Genomic DNA, 24,819 nt, shown 5'->3' on the forward strand with positions numbered 1-24,819 from the left:
TCGTACACATCTATGTAAGCACTCTGAATTGAGTGACTCTTTCCCAAAGATCATACTGGGATCTTTGGAATGAATGGCGGGTCACCCATCCAATTGCTTTTGCGGAGATTCGAGCATGTGGGGAATGCAAGTCACAATATCCTGCAAAAGCCAACTTGAGACCTCCTAGGACTGCACTGCTGCTTATGACACTGATCCTTAGCCCATCTAAGTAAGTGAGCATGGCCCTGTAAGTGAAATTGGAGAGGTTCCTTGACATTCCCACATAGCTGCTTCCCTGGTAATTCACCTGGGTCCAGAACACAGAAGGGAGATTCTAATTGAAAAACTTTTCCTAAAGGCCAGGCACAGTGGCTCACACCTGTAATCCCAGCACTTTCAGAGGCCGAGGCAGGGAGATCACTTGAGATCAGGAGTTCAAGACCAGCCTGAGCAACATGGTGAAACCCCATCTCTACAAAAAATATAGAACATTAGCTGGGCATGGTGGCGTACACCTGTAGTCGCAGGTACTTGGGAGGCTGAGGTAAGGGGATTGCTGGAGCCTGGGATATCAAGGCTACAGTGAGCCGAGACCGCACCTCTGGAGTCCACCCTGGGTGACAGAGTGACACCCTGTGTCAAAAAAAGAAAAAGAAAAAGAAAGAAAAAGCTTTGCCTGTATATGTAGAACAAATGAAAACCAAATAACAGTGGCACCAGTTCTTCTTTCAGTTTCCATGGAATATCAAGCACGATTTGAGTTGAGCAATTTGATTTGATTGATCTTCTTAAATGTATAATCTCAAACTTTACAATAAGAAGGCTACTTGTCTTTATAATTGTGAAATCCACCCTTAGTTTTAATGCATCTAAAGTCTCTGTATCAAAAAGATCAAAATCAGGTTTGAAAGTCTGTACTGTAACTAAAAAAGTTTTGGGGTTTGTTTTGTTTTGACCAATTTTTGTAAATCTCTTCTGTTACTGTTTATATACCCGGCCACTTCTGCCAAAATATGCTGGCCTTTTAGTCTTTTGGTTTTTTCTCTCTTTTGGTTTGTTGGCTTATGTTCGCTGCTTGATCTGACTACTGGTTTTATTTCTAAGGATTTTTTTTTAAGTTGGCATCTTTTTTTCTTTGACTTTCCTTGTATGCCCCCCTTTCTCCCCTGCATTGTCTTGCTTCATTCATTTCTTTCCAGGTTCCTGCAAATTGTTTTTATTTAGGGCTCATCTGGTATGTGTATTATGTTCTTGGTAGACAGAAGCTGTCTTTAGTTCGTATGGGTTGAGCATGGAGGGAACTTCATCTCGTAGTCACTGGATAAGGAGCCAGTCCTGGCTCTTCCTTTAACTGCCCTTGTGACCTTGAACATGTCAGTTCATCTCACCACGTAGTCATTTTCTCATCCGTCTCTTCAGGCTAATAATCACCTGTCCTGCCTTCCTCACAGGCTTGCCGGGCAACCCAAAAGAGCCGCTGATCTGCATAGCACTTCGCAATGAAGCTGTGCTCTAGAAACATACCACGATCTACTGGACTTTCTTAAATAAGGTGGTTGTTCAGGAAATTCCTCCAGTTAATTTTACTTTAATTCCCCCTACAAGAATGCCGAGACACCTCTGCCTATTTTCTCTTTCTGTGTTTGTTGTTTCTTTTGTTTTTGTTTTCGAGACTGAGTCTTGCTCTGTCGCCCAGGATGGAGTACAGCAGTGCAATCTCGGCTCACTGCAGCCTCCAACTCCCGGCTCCAGTGATTCTCCTGTCTCAGTCTCCCAAGTAGCTGGGATTACAGGGATGCGCCACCATGCCCAGCTAATTTTTTGTATTTTTAGTAGAGACGGGGTTTCACCATGTTGGCCAGGCTGGTCTTGAACTCCTGACCTGAGTTGATCTGCTCACGTCGGCCTCCCAGAGTGCTAGGATTAAAGGTGTGAGCCACCGTGCCTGGCCTCTTTCTGTTTCAAAGAAATAGTCAAGAAGTTTCTAGATGCACACAAAATGACCAAACCAGTCTTTCCGCTTATTTACACAATGAAGAAACATCAGAGTTCACCCTGGAAGACAGAGTTTCTTTCTGTCTTCATCCTAGGGCACAGGAGAGATGCAGTGATGGCATGTCTCCACTCTGCAGACATGTTGCAGGCCTGGAAAACTGTGTGGTGCGTCTGTTTTTCAGAGCGTTGAGAGTCATGCGGGCCATATGGATGCAGTGGTCCACAGAATTGGCAGTGAGCCCCCGGGGGAGCTCAGTGCAAGACAAGATTCTGGCGTAAGAACTGCGGTAGCAAGGACAAGAGGGCGTCACGGTGTAAGAATGGCCGTGGCAAGGACAAGAGGACATCACACGATGACCTTCTCAGAGTCAGTAGGATAGTTTCCCTTCCTGGAAGATTGAGATGAAATAAAGCTTTAGGAGTTGGTATCGCACGCAGGCATTAAATGGATTGTGAAGAGGGACTTTGTTCCCCCTCAGTCTTGTCTCTGCCTCCGTAAAGGAGTAAGTTAAAAAAGAAAGTTTCTTTTTTTAAAAAAAAGCCTTACTGCTCAATAAATCCCTGTGGAAAAAAAAAAAAGAGGGGGAAAAAGGAATGCACATTAGTCTTCCATTAAAAATAGATCAAAAAAGTACCCAAAAGAGAAAACCCCATAACAATGAAATAAATTAGGATAATCCAACTGGAGGCCTGCAAATGAGTTTGCTAAATGTTATATTTTCTCAAGCCACTTAGATTTTTAACTCCCTGTTTCTGCCTGAAGCAATAAAGGCAGGAACGCTGTCATTAGCTTCAAACACCATTTTTTAAGCCCCTAGCTGCATTTGTTATTTTTCTCTTCCCCCCCTTAGCTGTATCCCTGCATTTATTACAGCGCAGGTGCATCTTGCTTTTGAGTGCTAACTGAGATGAAAGGAGTGAGGAAACGCTCTCTTCTTCTTGCAGGGGAGGGCTGGCAAATTCAGTGAATGCAGAGTCGGCTGGGAGCCTTTCGGCTGGAAAGCTCTTCCTCTGATGAGCTGTCTGTTACAGATTTTCAGGGATGGCCCTTGATAAGGCAGGGGTGTCTGTCCACGCCACACTGTGGTCAGATAACCCCCGATCGTAATAAGCCGGAGGATAATCGCTTGCATTGTTCAATAAAGCAATTGCTTTGTCCCCTCACTTAGCCCCTTCAGAAAAGCCAAAAAGAATGTGCCACCTAGATGCTATTTATAACCATTTTCACCTCTTGCCTCCAGGGGCTAAATTGGAAACCTAATTTTAGATGCATAAAAGCCAAAATATGTATAGGAGAAGCTCCAAAATAAAATATCCCAGAGTGGCTTGTAAGCATCCTTCCAACAGGTTCAGGTTGATTTACCTTGCTGTGGATATTTAATTATGTCATTGAAAAAAACACCAGTAATTAAATCATTATTTCTTAGATGTGAGGTCCAAGGACATTCTAGAGGAAGTCAAAGGCAGAGGGAGGAAGGGTGGGACGATGGAGGCCTGAAGGGCTGGTGGAGAGGAAAGAAGGCAGCCTGTGCCGTCAGAGAGAGTTCAACTCCATCCGTGCAGCTGCTAGCATCTTGCCTTACTCAGCCTCTGTGAACCTTAAGTTGCTCAGAATGAGACAGGTAACACCTGCCTCCGTGGTTTGTCAGGACATTTAGAAATGCAGACTTGCTCAAGACCTGGATCTCAGGTGGTAGGTTGGTCCACAGACAGTGGCACCACTAGCTATTATTTATTTGTTGTCACTGTTTGGGACCCCTGTTGCTGTCTCACCAAAGAACTTCTTGTCTCCCTTTTAGAAGTTTCCAGAGCGTCTTCCTGATGTTGCATAGAGCACTCACACCTAACAGATCTCAGAACTTGTATCTTTTCTGGGTGGCTAGACTGAAAAATCCATTTTCTTGTGAGTGAGCCAGAGGTCTGTCTCTTGCGGCATTTCTGCTTTTGAGAACCTCCCGTTTCCTGAAAGGCACCAGACCCCAAGACAGCTCTGCTGCCTGATTGGTAGGTGCCCATGACAGCTCTGCTTCATGCCTGCTGCCTCCTCATCCCTCTGGATGCCTTGTGGTCCTGCTTGTCTGAAGAGCATAAACTTGGGGGTTCCCACTCGAAAAGAGGTTCCAGCAGTTCCAGCCCCTATGTCAGGGGAGCCACTTTTGGGGCTGGTGGTAGGCAGAACTTTGGCCCTCGACATCTCCTCTGTTGGCATTACTCCTATGGTGGTGTTACGTAACATGACAAAAGGGACCTTGCAGATGTAATTAAGGTAACTAATCAGCTGACTTTAGAATAGGAAGGTTATCCTGGGTGATTAGCATGGATCAGAGTTCTCACAGGAGCCCTTCAAAGCAGAAGGGGAAGGTGGACAAGAGAATCGGAGAGATGTGGCAGAGGGTAGGCAGAGAGATTGCAAGCAGGGAAGGATTTCACGTACTGCCACTGGCTTTGAAGATGGAGGGGGCACATGGCTAGAAATATGGGCGGCCCTCAGAAGCTAAGAACTAGCTCTTTCTGACAGCCAGAAGGAAATAGGGACCTTCCACCTACAATAGCATGGAAAACGGGGACCTCAGTTCTGCAACTGCATGGAGCTGAATTCTGCCAATAACCTGAATAGGTTTGGCAGCAGATTCTTTCCTGGAGCCTCCAAAGAAGAGCCCAGGCTGGCTGACACCTTGTGAGTGGCCTTGTGAGACCTGAAACAGGAAACCCACCTGAGCCACTCTTTGCCTGGGACTTCCAACCCACAGCAACTGTGCCGTCGTGACTAGATACGTTTTTTTAAGGGGATGATAATTTGCTGTGGCAGCAATAGAAAATCTGATACACTGTCATGGGGCCTTCCACAGGGTGGGGCTCAACCAGCCCTCAGCTCATCTAGCATGTTTCCTCCTACAACCTGGACTTTTTCCTGTTGTCCCCTCCCGTGACACTCAGCTCCCTGCATTCAATAGAATTGCTTTTGTGGGATGATGAGTGTGTTCAGAGTCATACTCAGCCTAATTATTGCTTTTGACCAACCCCAACACATAATGCTGTATGTCATGCTGTACTACTTTTAATTTCACAGATGAACACATTTCTGTTCTTTTAATCCACCTCTCCAAGGCTCGTGTTAACTCCATCTGGACAAAGCCTTGAGGTATACGTGTGGCTTCTTTTGAGCATCGTGCCATAGCTGTCCCTGATCTACCTTGCGGGGCAAACACAACAAGTAAAAGGTTTTCCTCTTGAAGGATTGAACGCCTCAATGCGTGCATCCTACATTGTCTAGTGGGAGAAATCTCCGTTGTAGATTCTGACATGTCACTCCACATCTTTGTAACTTTTTATGGCTCTCAGCCCTACTTTCTTAATAGTAGCAGCAGTATTTATCTACTGTTTATTGTATTCCAGGTAAAGGATATGTGAAGCACTTTTCATGCATTATTTAACCTAGCTATAATACTCCCATTTGACAGATGAGAGGACTGAGGCTTGTAGACTTTCCAAGGCTGTGCAGCTCTAGGTCTAGTCTGCCATTTGAATTTGGGCGATGATACCAGAGACCAAGTTCTCAACTATGATATACTGCACATGTTTTTGTTTTTGTATTTTGGTTCAAAAAGAGAGTATGATCTCACTTTTCCCTTCTTGATAGGTTGTAGATTCCATGTCTAATCCATCCTTTTCCAATATTCCCTCCTAATCTTTCAGTTGAATTACGGTCTTTAGCTCAAATGCATGACATGATGTGTGTGCCTTTGGAGTGGGGCGGTATTAGTCAGTCGATGGTTATTTCCTTGAGGAGAAAGGAAAGGAGAAGTTGAGTACTTTTCAGTGTTTGTTACTACAAAAGCATGGTGGCATGCCATTGTTCTGAGAGGAAGGGGCTTTTTTGCCTTGTCAGCTCCTGATGAAAAAGATGTTGGGTTGGAAAGCTAAGTTACAGCAGGTGAACTTGAATTTGAGGAAAGACAAAGCAAACCCTGGCTATTAAAGGAACACACACACACACATACACACACACACACACACACACACACACACACGTTTCTGGTATTAGGAAATGGAGATTTCTAACATAATAAAAAAGATTGAACTTAAAAATGACTTCCATTAAATAGGGTAAGAATTTTGAGGTGGAATCCTTTTTCCTTGGGTCAGTACTTTCTGCAAGCTTCTAAGTAATGGTTTCTCTTAGACACTCACGGTGATAAAATTGGGAGTTTTCAAATGAAATCTGGAATGATCTACTGGCATCATGCCTAGGACTTTGGAAAACTTGAAGGTTGGCACCTTTGGGGAAAACCAGACTTTTGAAGCAGGGGCTCTGATTGTCTCTTCTTATTATAGTGCAAGGTGTTTGGCAGAGGTGTGGTAGCTGAAGGCCCAAGGATAACATTGTCCAGATTTTCAGTCTTTGGAGCCATAAACATCCGGTTCTTTCCAGCCCCGCTCAACCGCCTCTCTTAATTCACCACCCTGTTAGCTTCATCTCAGGCCAGACATTGTAGGTGGCAGCAATTGTAGGACAATGAGAAGAGGCCAGATGAGGACAGAATTTTTATTTTCCATTGCCAGTAACAAACACAGCCCTAACTTGCTTAGACCAAAGATGGGGATTGATTGGCAACTGGGAAGCCTAAGGGTGGATCTGGCGTGGCTGGATCTAAGTGATTAAATGGCGCGGTCATAATTCTATTTCTCTGCATCTCTCAGCTGTACTTCCATCTCTGTAAACTTCATTTGCAGACATGGCCAGCATGCGCCCATAGCCTTAATGCTCAGGGAATATTGGTGGGAGAGAAAGCTCCTTTCCTATAGCTTCAAGCAAGAGTCCCACGGCTGACTCTCATTGGCCCTCAGTGGGTCACATGTAAATCATTGAGCCAATCACCGTCTTTCTGTCTGGACCTGGAATAAAGACCACCTTAGAGCATGGGAGCGGGATCCCCTTGATCCACACCATATAGACTGTGAGGTATGAAGTACCTCACAGTAAAGAAGTCATGTTATTGCTGGAAAAGGGGACATGGGTATTAAAAAGACAAAAACAACAGGGCTTCATCACAGCAGCTATACTGCTCCATCAATACCCATCCCAGGAGACAGTGGCAGTCTTGATGTCAATCTTGTTTTAGGATCATTGCCAGTGGAATTCAGGACTGCGGTTCTACCCAGTACCGGGGAACCAGGTGAGGGGGTTAAGAGGCCTGGGCCCATGGAAGGGGTGAGAGAGAGCCACATACTTACAGTTGTGAAGGGGGCCAGCCAGGATGGTGGCTTGCAGGAAAGGTCTGAGCAGAGTAAGAGGCAGTTCCTGGCACCAGCATGCCAAAGGCAGATAGCAACACTCTTCAATGGATGTGGGTGAGAGGACAGTGGAATCCAGCAGGGGCCATTGTTTCCTTCCATAATATTTTTAAACTGTAGCAAAGTGATCTTTTTGAGACCCAAATGTGAGTATGCCATTCTAATCTTCCCACCCTCAGATAAACCACAGCAATGATTTTATACTGTCTGTAGGGTAAAGACAGACCCCTAATCATAACCTACAATCCCTCGACCCAGTGACCTAGCCCCCGTGTACCTTCCCTGTCTCATTTCTCACTGTTATCATTGTAACCCTCTACCCTCTCTTTTGGCTTCCTGCAGTTGCCCTCCTGCAGCAGGGCTTTTGCACATGCTGGTTTCTCCCTTACTTTGCCTCTACTCAGTCTTTATATTTCAACTCAGTGGTCACTGTCTCTAGGAAGCCTTCCATGACTGCATTAAATCCTTCTATAAGTTTTCATAGTTCTGTGCATTTCCTCTTGGCAGCAATGCACTGAGCTGCAGTTTTACATTTTTGTTTTTTTGTTTTTTGAGTTTTTTTTTTTTTTTGAGACAAAAGTCTCGCTCTGTCCCCCACGCTGGAGTACAGTGGCACGATCTTAGCTCACTGCAACCTCCACCTCCCAGGTTCAGGCGATTCTCCTGCCTCTGCCTCCTGAGTAGCTGGGATTACAGGCATGTACCAGCACACCTGGCTAATTTTTGTATTTTTAGTAGAGACGGGGTTTCTGCCATGTTGGCCAGCCTGGTCTTGAACTCTTGGCCTCAAGTGATCTGTCCACCTCTGCTTCCCAAAGTGCTGGGTTTACAGGTATGAGCCACCACACCTGGCCTGTTTTTGTGTTTGTTTATTAATTCCTATTTTTCCCACCTGACAGTACGCTCCGTAGGGCATGTGTTTGTTTCGGTTCCCCAACGTATCCCTACTGCCCAGCAGAAGGCTTAGCTGTTAACAAGTGTTTATTGAATGAGTAAGTGAATGAGTACGTGAATAAATCTGCGCTTTAGAGGCACTTGCTCAGGCTTGTGGAATAATTCTACAGAGAGAAACAGGAATCAAAGGGAAACCTGAAGCTGGCTCAGAAGATGGATGGGCCAGCAAAGGCTTCAGCAAAACCACACAATGCTCATGAAAAATCACGCATTTCTCTGATTTGTGGTTATTGCTTCCCTGGATTTTTTTTTTTTCCAGTTGTTGTTGTTCATGGTGGTGGTGGACAATCTGACCATATACCAACCAAATTGACTGTTAAATTCAATCATCAGTGACCACTCCTGATAATCTGACCTCCTAAGTTAGAGCCCCTGGGAAGTTCAGCCGTGGTTCTGACCAGGCAGGATAACTATCTAAGTGTTCCCCTTTGGACCTAGACTGAGCCAAAGATTCTCCTTGGTCTATATAGGATAATAGATTTCTAAAACAAACCAATAGCTCAGGCACAATTATAGTGGGGGGTGGGGGGCATGTTTAACCTACTTTAGAGAACAAACTCTTTTTAAGGGCTTTGCACACTAATTGTATGCAAATGGATGCTGCTAATTGCAAACACAAAATTCAAACCTAGTCAAATTTGAAACCTGTTCATCAACAGTCCCTTTAGGACCTCTGCCCCACTCTATGTATGCAGTTTAAATTGCTGATTTATGGCTACATAATGTCTTCCTAACCCCCAGTTTACTGTTGGCTTCCTTCAGAGTCATTGCCCCAGGGGACTCATTGACGGCAGAGAGTGTGTCCCCTCCACTGTTGCCTCAATGCCCAGCTCAGCCCAGTGGGTACCGTACTTCAAAACCTCTTATTGAGGTCCACCTCTGTGCCAAGCATTTCGGTAGGCAGTGACAGAAGAGAGTGCATGCATGAATGGATAAACTCTTTCCTGGAATGCCTGCTCTCATCACCTGGTTTCAAAGTCGAGCCAGACGTTCTGTCTCAGCTCAGATTCTACCTACCCTGAGGTTCGCAGCTGGGCATGATCGAGCCACTCTCCACTCTCCTGTAGCATTTTTGGGCTTTGAGTTTATTTGACACTTTTCACTTGCTGCCTTATATTGCGTTTATTTTTATTAATTACTTCAGTAGTCATTTACAAAATGCTGCTGAATCCAAGTCCCTGTGCAAGATGCTGCAGGAGACAAAAAGATGAACAACACGTGGTCTTTGCTTTCATAGGTTATTTCTCCTCTTCCATAGCAACACATGTCAAGGCAAGGACCATATCTTATTCAGTTCCTAGTCATCTTTTCTTTCTTTTGCTTTTTCTTTTTTAAATTGTTAAGATCTGCCATAAAAATGTCTGTCAGAGTAGGCATGATTGCATATTCTTTAGATGGATGGGTGGATGGATGGATGGATGGTTGGATGGTTGGGTGGATGTATGGTTGGATGATTGGATGGATGATGGTTGAGTGAGTGGGTGGATGGATAGGTGGAAGGATGAATGGATGCATGGCTGAGTGGATAGAAGGTGGATGGATGGAGGGATGGATGGTTGGATGGTTGGATAATTGGATGGATGCATGGATGTTTGGGTGGATGAACAGATGAATGGATGCATGGATGAATGAGTAGTTGGATGGATGGATAAATGATGCATGGATAGATGAATGGTGAAACTTTTATATTTTACTAAAAATCTGCATTGATAGCCTAGTGGCTTGCTAAAAATAAGGGAGCTGCCCAAATGCCCCATTTCCTTTATATACTTGTGGAGCAGCAGCGAAGGCCAAGCCAGTGCCAGGGGCTGGAAACAGACACATAAATAAGAACAAATAAGATACAGACCTGACCTCAATGATTTTTTGATATAGAAGCATAGGCACATAAATAAATTCCTGTAATGGGAGTCTAGGGTGAGGGGTGGTGGGTGCCATAATAAAAATTATATAAAGTGCTATGGGGAAGCAAAGCTACATGACCAATTTGTTCTATTTATTTATTTGTTATTATTATGTTTTTTGAGACAGAGTCTCGTTCTGTCACTCAGGCTGGAGTGCGGTGGCATGATTGTAGCTCACTCCAGTCTTGAGCTCCTGGACTCAAGAGATCCTCCTGCCTCAGTTTCCTGAGTAGCTGAGACCACAGGCACGGGACACCATGCCAGTCTAATTTTTAAATTTTTTGTAGGGACAGGGCCTCACTGTGTTGCCCAGGCTTATCTCAAACTCCTGGCTTCAAGTGATCCTTCTGCATTGTCCCCCACAAAGTATTGGGAATGTATTCTTTCCTGATCAGGAAACTCCGCAGAGAGAAAGTGACAGTTGAAGACTATATTGAATTTTGGCCCACAGGAAAAGGAAACTTTGCTGTTAGGGTCACCTGGAGGAGAGACTGCAGGGGTCAGAGATCAGGGCCATATGCTAGAGCTGCAATGTGGGTGCTCAAATGATGTTCAGTGCATCTTCACAGATGGACCTCCACATGTCCCTCATGCCCTAAAATAGATATTCTCCACAGCTGCACATACAACAACGTCAGTGAAATCCGTTGAGAGGAGCATTGAGGAGATGAGTCAGGTGTGCCGCAGCACTCAGGTCAGACTTGAGGCAAGTGAGAGGTGTGAGTTATTCAGAGTCCCAGAGAGCTTGGGCCAAAAGAGATTCTATTTTTACTGGAGCATGTGAGGGTGGATCACAACTAGGATGGCGCGAAGTTCACCTCGTGTAAGCACACCAGGCTGCAGGGATAATAACTGCACTTTTTAAAACCAGCAAATCATTCATATTTACTTTATGAAACCTCTTTTAACTTTATTTTTTATATTTTTTTTATTTTCTTGTTTCTTTTTATTTTTAAAATTTATTTTTGTTTTTTTTGTTTTGAGACAGGGTCTTGCTCTATTGCCCAGGCTGGATGGAGTGCAGTGGCCCAATCATGGCAGCCTCAGCCTCCTAAACTCAAGCAGTTCTCCTGCCTCAGCCTCCCGAGTAGCTGGGACTACGGTTGTACATCACCACCTCTGGCTAATTTATTTTTTGTAAAGATGAGGTCTCACTATGTTTCCCAGGCTGGTCTCTAATTCCTGGCCTCAAGCGATCTCCCATCCCCCCTCAGCCTCCCAAAGTGCTGAGATTACATGCATGAGCCACCATGCCTGGCCTCTGGCCTTCTTTTCACTTTAGAAAAAAACAAAAAACAAAAAACAAAAAAAAACACAAAAAAAACTTTTTTTTTTAGAACTGTTTTAGTTGGGGAGCCAAAATTGAGCAGAAAGTACAGAGAGTTCCCGTATACCTCCGGCAGAGCCCTGGCTCACTATCTACATCCCCACTAGATCCATGTATTTGTTTAGGTTTTGGGGGTTTGTTGTTGTTTTGAGATGGAGTCTTGCTCTGTCACCCAGGCTGGAGTGCAGTGGCACCACCTCAGCTCACTGTAGCCTTGACCTCGAGGGCTCAAGCAATTCTGCTGCCTCAGCCTCCTGAGTAGCTGGGATTATAGGCACATGCCACCATACCCAGCTCATTTTTTTTTAATATATATTTTTAGTGAAGGCGGAGTTTCACCATGTTGGCCAGGCTGGTCTCTAACTCCTGACCTCAAGTGATCCGCCCATCTCGGCCTCCCCAAGTGCTGGGATTACAGGCATGAGCCACCACTCTAGGCCTGTATTTGTTTTAATTGATTAATCTACAATGACACATCATCATCACCTAAAGTCTATAGGTTCATTAGGTTCACAGTTGGTGATATATATTCTGTGGGTTTTCACAGACATGGAATGACATGTATCTATCATACATCATATATTGTATCATATCATATCATGTCATATCATATCATATCATACCGAATAATTTCATTGCCCTAAAATACCTCTGTTTTCACTTTTTAATCTCTTTGTGCACACATCAAAAATTCCTTTTGTGTTTTTGAGTTTCAAAAGTGTGCCACAAACAAGAAATTTGGGATCTGCTGAGCCCAGCCTCAGACCTGTAGGGGAAACAAAGAGGGCAACAGGAGGTCACGAAGGCATGCTGTGCCCACTTTTGGAAATTGTGAAGGAGAGTGTCTCAAACATGTAGGCTTGAGCCACTCAAAATTCTGGGAAATAGGATGTTTTGTAAAGAAAGTTTGCTACTGTCACTTCTGAGTAGTTGCAGTCCCTCCCAGTACGTGGGTATCTTCGGTGAGAACAAATTTCCTGGCAGCTTGAGGACTCCGTGTGTTATTCACATGCTTTATTTAATAGACTTGCCTCATGTGACTTTCTATATCATCCTTTGTGTCTAAGTGATTTGCACTGGGAAGATAGTAAACGCTCCCACTTTATATGCAGAAGGTTGAAAACACCATGAGTGTTGCAATCTGAGGTATCTGCCCTTAAAGAAGCAATATTTACTGAAATGCAGGGCACACGACTTTTCCAGCAAACCACACCGCCGTCCTTTTGTGTGACGAAATAATTATTTTGAGATACCGACATGCGTGACGACCAGATAATTATCTGAGAAAACTTAGCATCTAATGATGCTGTTTTGAGATCACAAGAAAGAATTATATTAGCTTGAGCTGAATTGTTCTTTTCCCCCTGTCTCTCTTTAGTTGTAAAAACACCCACAAATGTGAATGCTTCAGGCCTGAACTTGTCAACAGCCAGTGGCTCATTGTAGACATAGGGATGTCGCCTGTGTTTGGGGCTGAGACACCAGAACAGGTGTTCTGTGGGAACTGAGAATGTCTACTGCTGCACACCTTTAATCTCGGGTCTTCTTTCTGGTGAAATACCCGTGATTCATAACTCAGTCACGTTACTGAGGTATGTCTCTTCGGATAGATTCTATCTCTAAAAACTACAGATTCTATCTCTAAAAACTTAAGTCAAGGGATTTTCAAGCAGTTGTTTGATTTATGTATGTGAACCTCTCCGTTAGGAGAAGAACTTTTCTTTGGCAAACACCATAGGAACGGAGACCTTAACAAAAGAATTAGGACTCTCTTGTCCTGTTTTAATCTCAAAGCTGTCCCTGCGCTGGTGCGGCTGGCCCACTTGTGCCTTTGTGAATTTGCAGAGAAGAGGCTGGGCGTGGGGGGACACATGACTAATCCGCCCTTTCTTTTGTTTGTGCAACAACTCAATTCACTGTCACCACATCAGCACATTTGCTGCAAATCTCAGTGCCCTCTCACTTTCGTTTTATTTAATGCGTTTCTACATTTTCCCAAGGCCACATGAGCTGTTTTCTGGCGCGTGGTATGCCTGCCTCAAATAACTAACATTGCCTGGGTCTTGGAATCTGAGCCTTCATATTCTCCGATATATTATTTGGTCCTATTGTTCCTTAACTTGCTCATCATTCACACGGCGAAGGAAATTCCATTTGGTCCTTTTAAGACCGCCAGACTAGCTGACTTAAACACTCAGCTCCAGCTACTTCTGAATATTTCGGTTCTTTATTGAAATGGTCCTTTTAATGTCATCTTTAATTTAATCAAATAGTGTCATCAAAATAACATTTACTCTATTACTGAAAATTCACTGCATTATTAACTAGTGTAACTAGACAAAAAAGATGGTACAAACCCCCATGGAAATATATACTTACTGTAAAAATGGATAGAGTTCATGGATGTTCTATATTTAATTTGCACTTTCAAAGTACTCTCTATGGAGAGGTTTTATGGTTCTGAAATAATTTAAAAACACACTTTACTACAATCCATAGCAGGTAGTTTTGCCAATTTGGGAAGTTATGGTGCCTTGCAGTTTCCAAAGTAAGCTGAACAGTGTTTTTTAACAGTGCTGCCCCTCTCTCCCACTAGAAATGCGAGTCCATCCTTTTACCAAGTGTGGTACAACAAAGGTTTCTCTGGTTTTCTTTTGGTATTCTCAGACAACTGAAATATAAATTACATGGTATGTGCAGGTATCACCAGGATGCAATTAGTTTGATGAAATATACCAAGTCGTCAATGCCACTTTGGATAGTTTAATCTGAAAATAGGACATGGTTGGGGTAGTGGGCACAGGGGAAGGAAGGTTATGTAATTTTAAAATTCTTCCTTTGATTCAAAAGAAAAAAACATGTTTGTTGCATTCAACTCCATAGGGTGAGCATAGCTTAGTGGGGAGAGATTTGGACTAAAAAATAAGAGTTCTGGGTTCAAGATCTGAGGTAAATTATTTGCTAGGCCTTAGTTTCCCATCTGTGAAAAAAGGGAGTTCTATAACAGCAAGACATTTAATATTAAAATAATGTAATGTTTTTAAAAATGCTTGTCTACCCACTTTTTCTTGAGATTAGTAAGACCATCTTCCAATTAGAATGTTTATCCGAACTTACCGCTAGGTATTTCCTTGTAGAGTATGAAAGTAAAATATCAATGGGCCATCTCTACGTCAAGGTTCTCGTTCTTCTCATTACTGAGAAATTATGTTCCTGGAATAATATTGTACAGACTTAGAAATAAGGGCATTGAACTTAATTCATTTATTTTTCAAAAGGCATGTATTTTTTACCTGTTGCTATATCTGCTGCCAGCCAAGTGCTGTGCTTGGCCCTGAGAAAGCAAAGAGAGATAGAGATGTCCATGTTTTGGAACTTGACGTCCATTAGGGGACATAAACATTTGAAAAGATAACACTAACAAGCTAATTCAGGTATGATAATAAAAACCTTCACAGGGTTAGCCATCCATCTATCTGTCCATCCATCTATTCACTCATGCATTCATCCACCTGTTCATCCATTCATCTGTCCATTCATCCATCTATCCATCCATCTACTTCTAGGTTGTGAGAACCCGTAGTATTGACTCTCAGTGTGATAGGAAGGCCAGTGTCTTGGTGAAAGATCAAAGAGCTCATCAAAATTTGTCGGATAGACTGCAGGCTCAGACACTGATGAGACCCCCCTGCAACTACCACATCAAAAGGCCTAGGAGCCTTTCCATGACCAAATGCCCATATTGATGAATCCGAGACAAGTGAGGGAAAGATGTCCTCTGTCGGTGTTCTGAACCCTGTGGAAATCATACGGGGAACTATAAAAGATCCTGATGCCTGGTTTTCTTCTGGAGAGTCTGATTTAATTGGATAAGGATACAGCCTGGGCATCAAGAGTTTCTAGATGACCTAAGTAATTCTCATTTGCAACCAAGGTTGAGAATAAAGGGTGTGTATAAGGTGAGAGACTTCTGGTTAACTAAAGGAAATACCAATGACATTTGTGCTTTAGGTCTACCAGTTAGTGGGTATTGGTGCATGGTGGGACAGACTAAATGGCTACAGGTCAGGGTCATTGTCAAAGAGTGAGGGATAAGGGGTTGTGCTGTGGCTCAGAGGCAGAGTAGACTGAGGAAGAACAGCTAATTCCAGAAAGCCATGTTGTGGTGTAAAAGATAGTACCTGACTTGTAATGTCTGACACCAAAAATGACCTTAATTTGGGTCATAGGACAAAGACCTCCCCACCTCCAGCTATGAAAGACAGAAAATGATAGGACTAGGCTTCATATTTTCTAGCGTAACGTTTGGCTTGTGGTATATTCAAAACTAAGTCCGTGTTTGTTGCTGCTGAGTGACTGGGCTGATACTACCTGTCCTTCAGCCATCTAGACTTGCTCTCTACCATCCTCAATACTTCATATGAAAGGAGACTGTCACTTCATGAAAATCATTTATTTGCTTTAGCTTAAATCTACTGGAGATTACAACTGCCTCATTTTGTCACCTTCTTACCCCAGAAGGAAATATCTCCACAAGAGAGCAGGTATTTATTGAGTTATGACTGTCAGGCATGGAACAGATCCATTGGTCAGAAATAAGGAAATTGTCTCTACCTTCAAGGTTCTCACAGTCTGGAGGGAACAGAGAGCCATCAGGGACAATAGGTCCCTGTGCCATCAGCTACTGGGATGTATGACTTTCCAGTAGAGGTACACAGCACTTGTTCCAAAAGGAGCCTATGTAGCTTTGGGAGTTCTCTATTTAGTCACCTTATTTTTTTTGTCTTCTTGTTAAACTAGCATCCTGTTTTACTGAATCTCTGCCTCAGTTGCTTTATTTACTGTATACATACATAGCTCTTTTGAAGACTTGATGTCAAAAGTAAAGAAGTTCAGAACCTACGGGGCTTGCTTTGGGTCCCAAATTATCTTAGCTTTCTGGAAAGAGAAGAATCTATAATGTATTCTCCATGGAGTATCTTTACTCACTTGTGATGAGATGTCTGTAAAAGTAATCAGCTCCATACATCTGGGCATGATGACCCTCAGGCCCTTGAGACTCAGGTGTTCTCAGCTCATGGTGCAAGTTCCCCTGAAAGAAAGACTCAAGCCAAGCATTCAATGGTTATGTTCCAGATCATAGTCTCCTAAAAGCCAGGGGTCCTTTATGCAGGGATGGTGACATCAGAAGTTAAAAGGTCTATGCAGATTAACGAGGAAAAATGAGGGAAATTACTGTAAGGTTTTTAAAACATGATAGTTATATATGAACTGATGATTATATAATTGAACATGCCTAAATTGATGTAGTTCTCTGTAAAACTAGTTGGTGTAAGGAAACTTGGTCTTTGACCATCAAGGAGGTTGCAGTTTGTGGCATGGCACAAAGATAACACTCAGCAGATATATAGCTATGGGATACATGGATGGATGGATGGATGGGTGGATGGATGGATGGATGGATGGATAGGTAGATGGATGGATGCGTGGGTGTGTGGAATGGTGGGTGGTAGGTGGGTACATAGATGGATGTATGGATGGGTGGGTTGGTGGGTGCATGGATGGGTGAGTAAGGGGGGATAAATGAAAGGCTTGTTCTTCTGAAGGGACTCTTTACAAAGAGTCTTTGATCTTCCAGCTTCACGTGCAAGAGAATCCCCAAGGTGAGCTTGTTAAAATAAGCATATTCTGGGTATCACTTCCTGATTTTCTGGTTCAGTAAGTCTGAGGAGGAACTTGGGGAACTTTATCTTTTAAACAAGTACCTCAGGTTATCATAGTAGTCTTGCTGTCCTGAATCTTAATGCATCTCTATTTCTGCTACATCTTCCATGAAGTTGATTTTGCAGAAATCATTCTGTGGTTCCACATTGACTGCATCCAAGACCTATTGCCTTCAGATTTACATCAAGCACAATTTGGCAGGTATTAGGGATGGACCCAGCAGCCAAGTCTTTGTTGCCTTAAACAGATCCCTTGTCTCTTGTCAGGACCTCCTTCCAGGCTGCTCCTGAGCAAGTCTGGATGTGACTTCTACCTATGATCCAGTGGGTTGGGCCATAAAGGAGCTTTGGAAAGGGACAGTCTTAGGGTGAAAAAGAGGGAGAGGCTTGCCATCTGAACAGGAATCTCTCCCAGAGGAGAGAAGAGAAGCCTAGGCTTTAATGAGGACAGCCACCCTGTGGATGACTTTCTGTGTGATGTTATGTGGAGGTGGCTTCTTTTTTCTCTATCCCATTAGCTGAATTCTGTGCCAGAAGGAAGAGATTTGGAGTCAGCAAGGCATCCTTTTTTTTTTTTTTTTTTTTTTTTAAAAAAAAAAAAAAAGAAGGAATGTGATTGTGAAGGAAGCAAGAAAAGGCCCAAAGGCTCTGGACAAGGGCTAGGAGGCTGAGGAGTTTTACACATTCATAATTTCCTTGTAGGCCAAGCTTACTCTCAGGGATGACAGTCATTTTCTAAGAAAGTGAGATTGCTTCACATTGCATTTAAAGGCTTAAATAATGTATTCTGTCAGACAATTCTCTGAAATGGTTTTCCAAGTGAATGCATCAGAAAGTGCCCAGAAAGAATGCCTGGCACAGGAAGAGGAGGGCATTCAGAAAATGTGAGCTGCTTGCATCAGAATCTAACTTGAGATGTATCATTCCTACGGTAAGGTGCACACACATTAAATGTACAGTTCAATGAACTCATACTTATTTATACAACTGTGTAAACACCACTCAGATCAAGACAGAGAACATTTCTAACACCTCAGAAGGCTCATCTGTTCCCCTTTCTAAGCAAGAAGTACCATCAGCATTAAGAGGTAACCACTATTCTGATTTCTATCAGCATAGTTTTCTGTTCCTGAATTCATATAAATAGTCACCCAGTACGCATTCTTTGCTGTCTTGCTTCTTTTACTCCTCATTAGGTTGTGGGATTTGCCCACGATATTTCATTCTTTATTGTCATTCTTCTTTCTCTGCCACTGCCATCCTACCAACAGTTTGTATTATGAAAAATTGCAGACGTACACAAAAGTTGAAAGAATTGTACTGTAAGTACTCTGATATGCACCACCTAGATTCTACAATTAACATTTCCCTCTATTTGCATCTCTATCCATTTACCATTCCTCTTGTCTATCCATCAGTCTATCTTGATTCATTTCAAAATAAGTTGTAGGTCAGGTGCAGTGGCTCACACCTGTAATACCAGCATTTTGAGAGGCAGAGGTGAGAGGATTCCTTGAGTCCGGGAGTTGAAGACCAGTCTGGGCAACATAGTGAGGCCTTATCTCTTCAAAAATAAAAAAAATTAGCTGCCCATGGTGGTGTATGCCTGTGGTCCCAGCTACTTGGGCAGCTGAGGCAGGAGAATTGCTGGAGTACAGGAGATTGAAGCTGCAGTGAACTGTGACTACACTGCTGCACTCAACTTGGGCGACAGAGTAATACCCCGTCTCAGAAACAAAAACAAATAAACAAACAAAAAGCTAAATAAGTTGCAGACAGCAGTCGCTTCACTCCTAAACACTTAAGCAGGTGTGTCATCCTTGAATTACTGAATTAGAGTTCAGTATTTGCTTATGCTAGTTATGTTAGTGGTATGCTTTTTAAAAATAATTAAGGTGATGTCATGATAAGGCTATTAAGAGCCAACATGCATTGAGTATGGACTTTCTGCCAGACATTGCACTATGCACTTAACACACAGACACATATTGTTTTTTCCATTTTAAGATACAGAAAGTGGGCCTTAAAGGTGCTACTGACTTGCTGATATGCTTTGGCTGTGTCCCCACCCAAATCTTAACTTGAATCGTATCTCCCAGAATTCCCACGTGTTGTGGGAGGGACCCAGGGAGAGGTAATTGAATCATGGGGGCTGGTGTTTCCCATGTTATTCTTATGAAAGTGAATAAGTTTCATAAGATCCAATGAATTTATCAGGGGTTTCTGCAGTTTTTCTCTTGCCACCACCATGTAAGAAGTGCCTTTCACCTCCACCATGATTCTGAGACCTCCCCAGCCATGTAGAACTGTAAGCCTGATTAAACCTCTTTTTCTTCCCGGTCTCAGGTTATGTCTTTATCAGCAGTGTGAAAATGGACTAATACAGTGAATTGGTACCAGTAGAGTGGGGCATTGCTGAAAAGATATCTGAAAATGTGGAAGTGACTTTGGAACTGGGTAACAGGAAGAAGTTAGAACCGTTGGGAGGTCTCAGAAGAAGACAGGAAAATGTGGGAAAGTTTGGAGCTTCCTAGAGACTTGTTGAATGGCTTTGCCCAAAATGCTGATAGCAATATGGACAATAATGTCCAGGCTGAGGTGGTCTCAGATGGAGATGAGGAGCTCGTTGGGAATTGGAGCACAGGTGACTCTTGTTATGTTTTAACAAAGAGACTGGCAGCATTTTGCCCCTGCGCTAGAGATTTGTGGAACTTTGAACTTGAGAAAGATGATTTAGGGTATCTGGCCGAAGAAATTTCTCATCAGCAAAACATTCAAGAGGTGACTTGGGTGCTGTTAAAGGCATTCAGTTTTATAAAAGAAGCAGAGCATCAAGGTTTGGAAAATTTGCAGTCTGATTGTGCGATAGAAAAGAAAAACCCATTTTCTGGGGAGAAATTCAAGCTGGCTGCAGAAATTTGTGTAAGTGGCAAGGAACCTAATGTTAATCTCGAAGACCATGAGGAAAATGTCTCCAGGCCATGTCAGAGACTTTCACAGCAGCCCCTCCTATCAGAGGCCTGAAGTCCCAGGAGGAAAAAATGATTTCATGGGCCCAGCCCTGGGTCCCTGTGCTGTGTGTAGCCTAGGGACTTGGTGCCCTGTGTCCCAGCCACTCCAGTCATGGCTGAAAGGGGCCAAGGTATAGCTCAGGCTGTGGCTTCAGAGGGTGGAAGCCCCAAGCCTTGGCAGCCTCCATGTGGTGTTGAGTGTGTGGGGGCACAGAAGTCAAGAATTGGGGTTTGGGAACCTCTGCCTAGTTTTCAGAAAATATATGGAAACACCTGGATGCCCCAGCAAAAGTTTGCTGCATGGGTGGAGCCCTCATGGAGAACCTCTGCTAGGGCAGTGCTGAAGGGAAATGTAGGGCTGGAGCCTCCAGGCAGAGTCCATACTGGGGCACTGCCCAGTGGATCTGTGAGAAGAGGGAAAGTGAACTAAGCTCTTTAAACCTCATATGTTTCCATCAGTAACATGGGAACAATAGTAACAATTCCACAGAGATAGTATTGATGGTTGAACAAGATGTTTAAATCACTAGTAAAATTTGGCCAGACACGGTGGCTCATGCCTATAATCCTAGCACGTTGGGAGGCTGAGGTGGGTGGAGCACCTGAGGTTAGGAGTTCGAGACTAGCCTGGTCAACATGGTGAAACCCCATCTGTACTGTAAATACAAAAAATTAGCTGGGCATGGTGGCAGGCACTTGTAATCCCAGCTACTTGGGAGGCTGAGGCAGGAGAATCACTTGAACCCGGAAAGTAGCGGTTGCAGTGAGCCGAGATGGCACCATTGCACTCCAGCCTGGGTAACGAGCAAAACTCCATCTTAAAAAAAAAAAAAAATGCCCGCCTTATTCAGATACACAGTCTAATGCTTTCCACTAGAAGATTCTGGCACTGTTAGCATCTCTGGCATAAACTATGTTACTCAACCCAGTTCTGTCGTCGTCATTTTTTTGTGTTGGCTTTGCCCTTCCCGCATTGTGACTTGATCCCATTTAAGCAGCAACCTCTGCACACACAATCTTTTCTCTGTCCTTCACTCAGTGATGTTATAATATCTAGAGGCTTATTGATTATTTGTTTGATTCTATTGTGGGCACAGGAGCAGTTCTTAGATTAACACTATTAGATTTTCCCAAGCAGTATTGCCGTGGTTTATACAATTGGACGAAATGGGTGATCTAATTTGGACTCAATTTGCTCCAAAGTAGAGTTGGAGGAAGGAGATGCTGTGATTTGGTTCTGCACCTGAGAACAAGAATGGAAAAAGTTATCTCCAGGTGCTATCTGTGTGCCTCATCAATTTTGGATACACTGTGTGACCAGCTCTGAGGATTCCAAGCTTTTTTGCGTGGCTTCTTACCTATCAGCTAAAGAACCTAGCTTTACTTATCCAACTTAGATATTAAATCCCATGATATAATTTATTTTTCCGTGTGAAATATCTCAGGAACAAAAAAGTCAGGTTGAGTTTTCTAAAGGCACTGGTTTAAGAGGCTATAGGTTAAGAGGAGATAACAGACATGCTCAGAAACAAATCATTTCCTGATAGCTGTTTCAGATGGAACCAAATGGAAAACAGTGCTTCTTTCCGTTTACTGTACACCCCCTATCCTGGCATCTAAACATATTTGTAATCATACTGTCTATAGAAGTTTTGGTTCTGCTTTTGACCTTAACACTAAAATACCCTTCCACAATATTATAGGCTTTTCATGTACATCGTTTTTAAGATGGCTATAAATTCCACTTAGTGGCTATGACTGTAGTTTTTTTTTTAACTCTTCCCCTAATAGTGAAAATTTAGATTGTTTCTAAATTTTCCTTACTATAAGTAAGGCTAAAAAGTAACATGTGAATGTTTTGAATCAATAAATATAGTATGTATTAATAATATTGAGCTATTTCTTAAGATTACATTTTCAGAAGTAAGATCACTGAGTCAAAGGGTGCACACTGTTTAAAGGAGCTTAAATATATTGCAAAACTCTTTTCATGGTCTGCTGATATCACTGAAAATGGAGGTCTGGATTCAAATCACATGTGCCAACTGTTCTACTTTGGCAGAATTACCTACTGCTTTGGGCCTCGGGTACTAAATTTGTGAAATGGGAAAAATAATAGTTCCCACCTCATAGAGTTGCAGTGGAGATTGAATGAGTTTGTAGATAAAAAGCGTCTGCGTTGTGTCTGGTACATGGTAAGGGGTTCGTAAATACTGAGTTATTTCTTATTAACATTTATTATTGTCTCCACTGGAAGAAGAGCCTGTAGAATATGCAGACTATTCAAATGCTTCCTTTGGTCCATTGTTGTCCTTTCTTTTCTCTTCTAGAACTTTCCCCATAGTCATGCATCTGTCCCTGGGTTATCTGATATGTGTTTCAGCCTGTTTTCCCAAGTTTACCTGCCTCTCTGAGAAGCCCATCAGCCCTGAGAGATACCTGGAAGGAAAGAGGAAAATGCGTGATTCAAATCATGTTGCAAGTGGATGAATCTAGCCCCAAACAACTGGGAGGCAACTACTCCTGCCTGCCGAGGCCTTTTTTTTTTTTTTTTTTTTTTTTTTTGAGACTCACTCTGTCACCCAGGCTGGAGTGCAGTGGCATGATCATGGCTCACTGCAGCCTCCCGGGCTCAAGCTTTCCACCCACCTCAGCCTCCTGAGTTGCTGGGACCACAAGTATGCACCAACATGCCTGGTTAATTTTTGTGGTTTTTTTTTTTTTTTTTTTTTTCCTGCTGAGATGGGGATTTCACCATGTTCTCCAGGCTGGTTTCAAACTCCTGAGTCCAGGTGATCCACCCATCTTGGCCTCCCAGAGTGCTGGGATTACAGGTGTGAGCCACTATGCCCAATACCCCCTATGTAGACTTTTAAAGAAATACAGGAAACAGCCAAGACTGGTGTCATTCAGATTTAGCTTGGGAGAGTCTAGTGGGTGTTAGGTTCCCACAGGATGAAGGATCACCATGAACGGTCAGGACCTGACTTAGGAGGACTCAGAAGCTGGAGACTGCAGAGGATGGCACAGAGTTCCAAATCTTTGGGGTGTGTAAGAGTAGGAGAGGCAGGATGGGAGAGGATGGGAGTGATGCCACATAAATCAACTCTGTTGCAGCCTCCGGGGCCACATCAGTAGCTGCAGGAGGAGGAGGGAACAGGGAGACAGGGAGCCTTTCTTCCTTTCCTCACCCCCAGTTCTGTGTTTATACTTCTCATTTAGCCCATACCCCACTATATTAAAAGAAGATGTATAAGTGTATGTGTTTAATCTACCATTCCTTGTGGCACAGTGCATGGTCTGCATGGCACAGTGTGTGGTCTGTATGGCACAGTGCATGGTCCGCATGGCACAGCGCGTGGTCCGCGTGGCACAGCGCGTGGTCCGTGTGGCACAGCGCGTGGTCCGCGTGGCACAGCGCGTGGTCTGCGTGGCACAGTGCGTGGTCTGCATGGCACAGCACATGGACATGATTCATACATGCAAGTGAATGAGTGAATGGGCGATTTCCAGACTATCCAGAAACTGTGCCCCATAGTCCTACCCGTAGGAATCCAACAGGGAACTGTCACCACCGACCCGAGGCAGGAACCATGTGCTCTGAGCCCTGGCCATTTTGTGTAGATGGAGATAAATTGTCATTGCTAATTGCCAGAGACCAGGTCCTGGTGGTAGCCAAACTGTTCCCTAGGGAGTTCTCACCAACCTTGCAAAATGAGATGGCAGTCTTCATCGTGGATGCAATTATGTTTCATTGTTAACCATCACAAGCAACGGGACATTATGATGACTGTTATAAGTTGGTTTCACATGTAAACTTTGACCTCAGAGCAATGGGGCAGGCTTTTCCCAAGGACCCTGTTGAGAGGTTCATGATGGTGACAAAAAGCACAAGCCCCAGCTGCCAAGGAGGCTGATATCGGGAGAGGCAGAATGTGTCTTTTCTTTCTTCTTCCTCTTCTTCTTCTTCTTTTTGAAACCATGCTCATTGGTTTTAGGAATCATTAGCATGGTGAAGATTAAAGCTATTGGAGATAGCACAGATTGTTTCATTTTATTATGTTCAATTGGATTGGATCCGAGCCATTTGCAAAGTGCAGTATTACCATAAGAAGGGACTTGGAATGTTTGTCACATAATACTTCTTCATGGAGAAGGCAGTTTCTTAAAGAAAAAAAAAAAAGACAACTTGAAATAGCACAGCTTTTTTCCACTTTCAAATGTATAACAAAATAGAACTTTATATTTCCAGATGGACTGCCTGGAACCCGGGGAGTGGCTCAGCTACCAGGCTCCAGTGGCCCTTGTCTTGTTATTTCCTCCATTAGAGACCTGGCGTATAATTGTGGGAGGGAGAAGCCAGTGGAGCAGTCAGGGGACTCCCTGGCTGTTTCTGTGTCTGGTCTTATGGGTCTGGGCACTGAATTCAGTCACAAACCCTAGCATGCTCCTTTGCTACCTCAGGGGACAAAGTCAAGAAAATAACACTAGGATTGCCACCCTGCTCTCTCTCTCTCTCTCTTTTTTTTTTTTTCTTTTTGAGGAAGGGTCTCTCTCTGTCACCTGGCTGGAATACAATGGTGCTATCTTGGCCCACTGCACCCTCCATCTCCCTGGTTCAAGGGATT

At 43.5% G+C, this 24,819-nt stretch overlaps 1 protein-coding gene across 2 annotated transcripts in view, besides 2 other annotated features; it reads left to right on the plus strand.

Moving 5' to 3' along the window:
- WWOX (WW domain containing oxidoreductase) overlaps positions 1-24,819 on the plus strand; it is a 1,113,014-nt gene that overhangs the window by 844,904 nt on the left and 243,291 nt on the right. The gene's annotated exons all lie outside the window — the stretch shown is intronic.
- Positions 23,014-23,514: an enhancer, noted in NCBI's record as "H3K4me1 hESC enhancer chr16:79001468-79001968 (GRCh37/hg19 assembly coordinates)". NCBI's record gives its function as "activates a minimal SCP1, AML or CMV promoter by ChIP-STARR-seq in primed H9 embryonic stem cells {active_cell/tissue: H9 hESC(primed)}" and the evidence as "EXISTENCE:reporter gene assay evidence [ECO:0000049][PMID:30033119]".
- Positions 23,515-24,015: an enhancer, noted in NCBI's record as "H3K4me1 hESC enhancer chr16:79001969-79002469 (GRCh37/hg19 assembly coordinates)". NCBI's record gives its function as "activates a minimal SCP1, AML or CMV promoter by ChIP-STARR-seq in primed H9 embryonic stem cells {active_cell/tissue: H9 hESC(primed)}" and the evidence as "EXISTENCE:reporter gene assay evidence [ECO:0000049][PMID:30033119]".

Source organism: Homo sapiens, chromosome 16, assembly GCF_000001405.40.
Source record: "Homo sapiens chromosome 16, GRCh38.p14 Primary Assembly".
Lineage (NCBI taxonomy): Eukaryota > Metazoa > Chordata > Mammalia > Primates > Hominidae > Homo > Homo sapiens.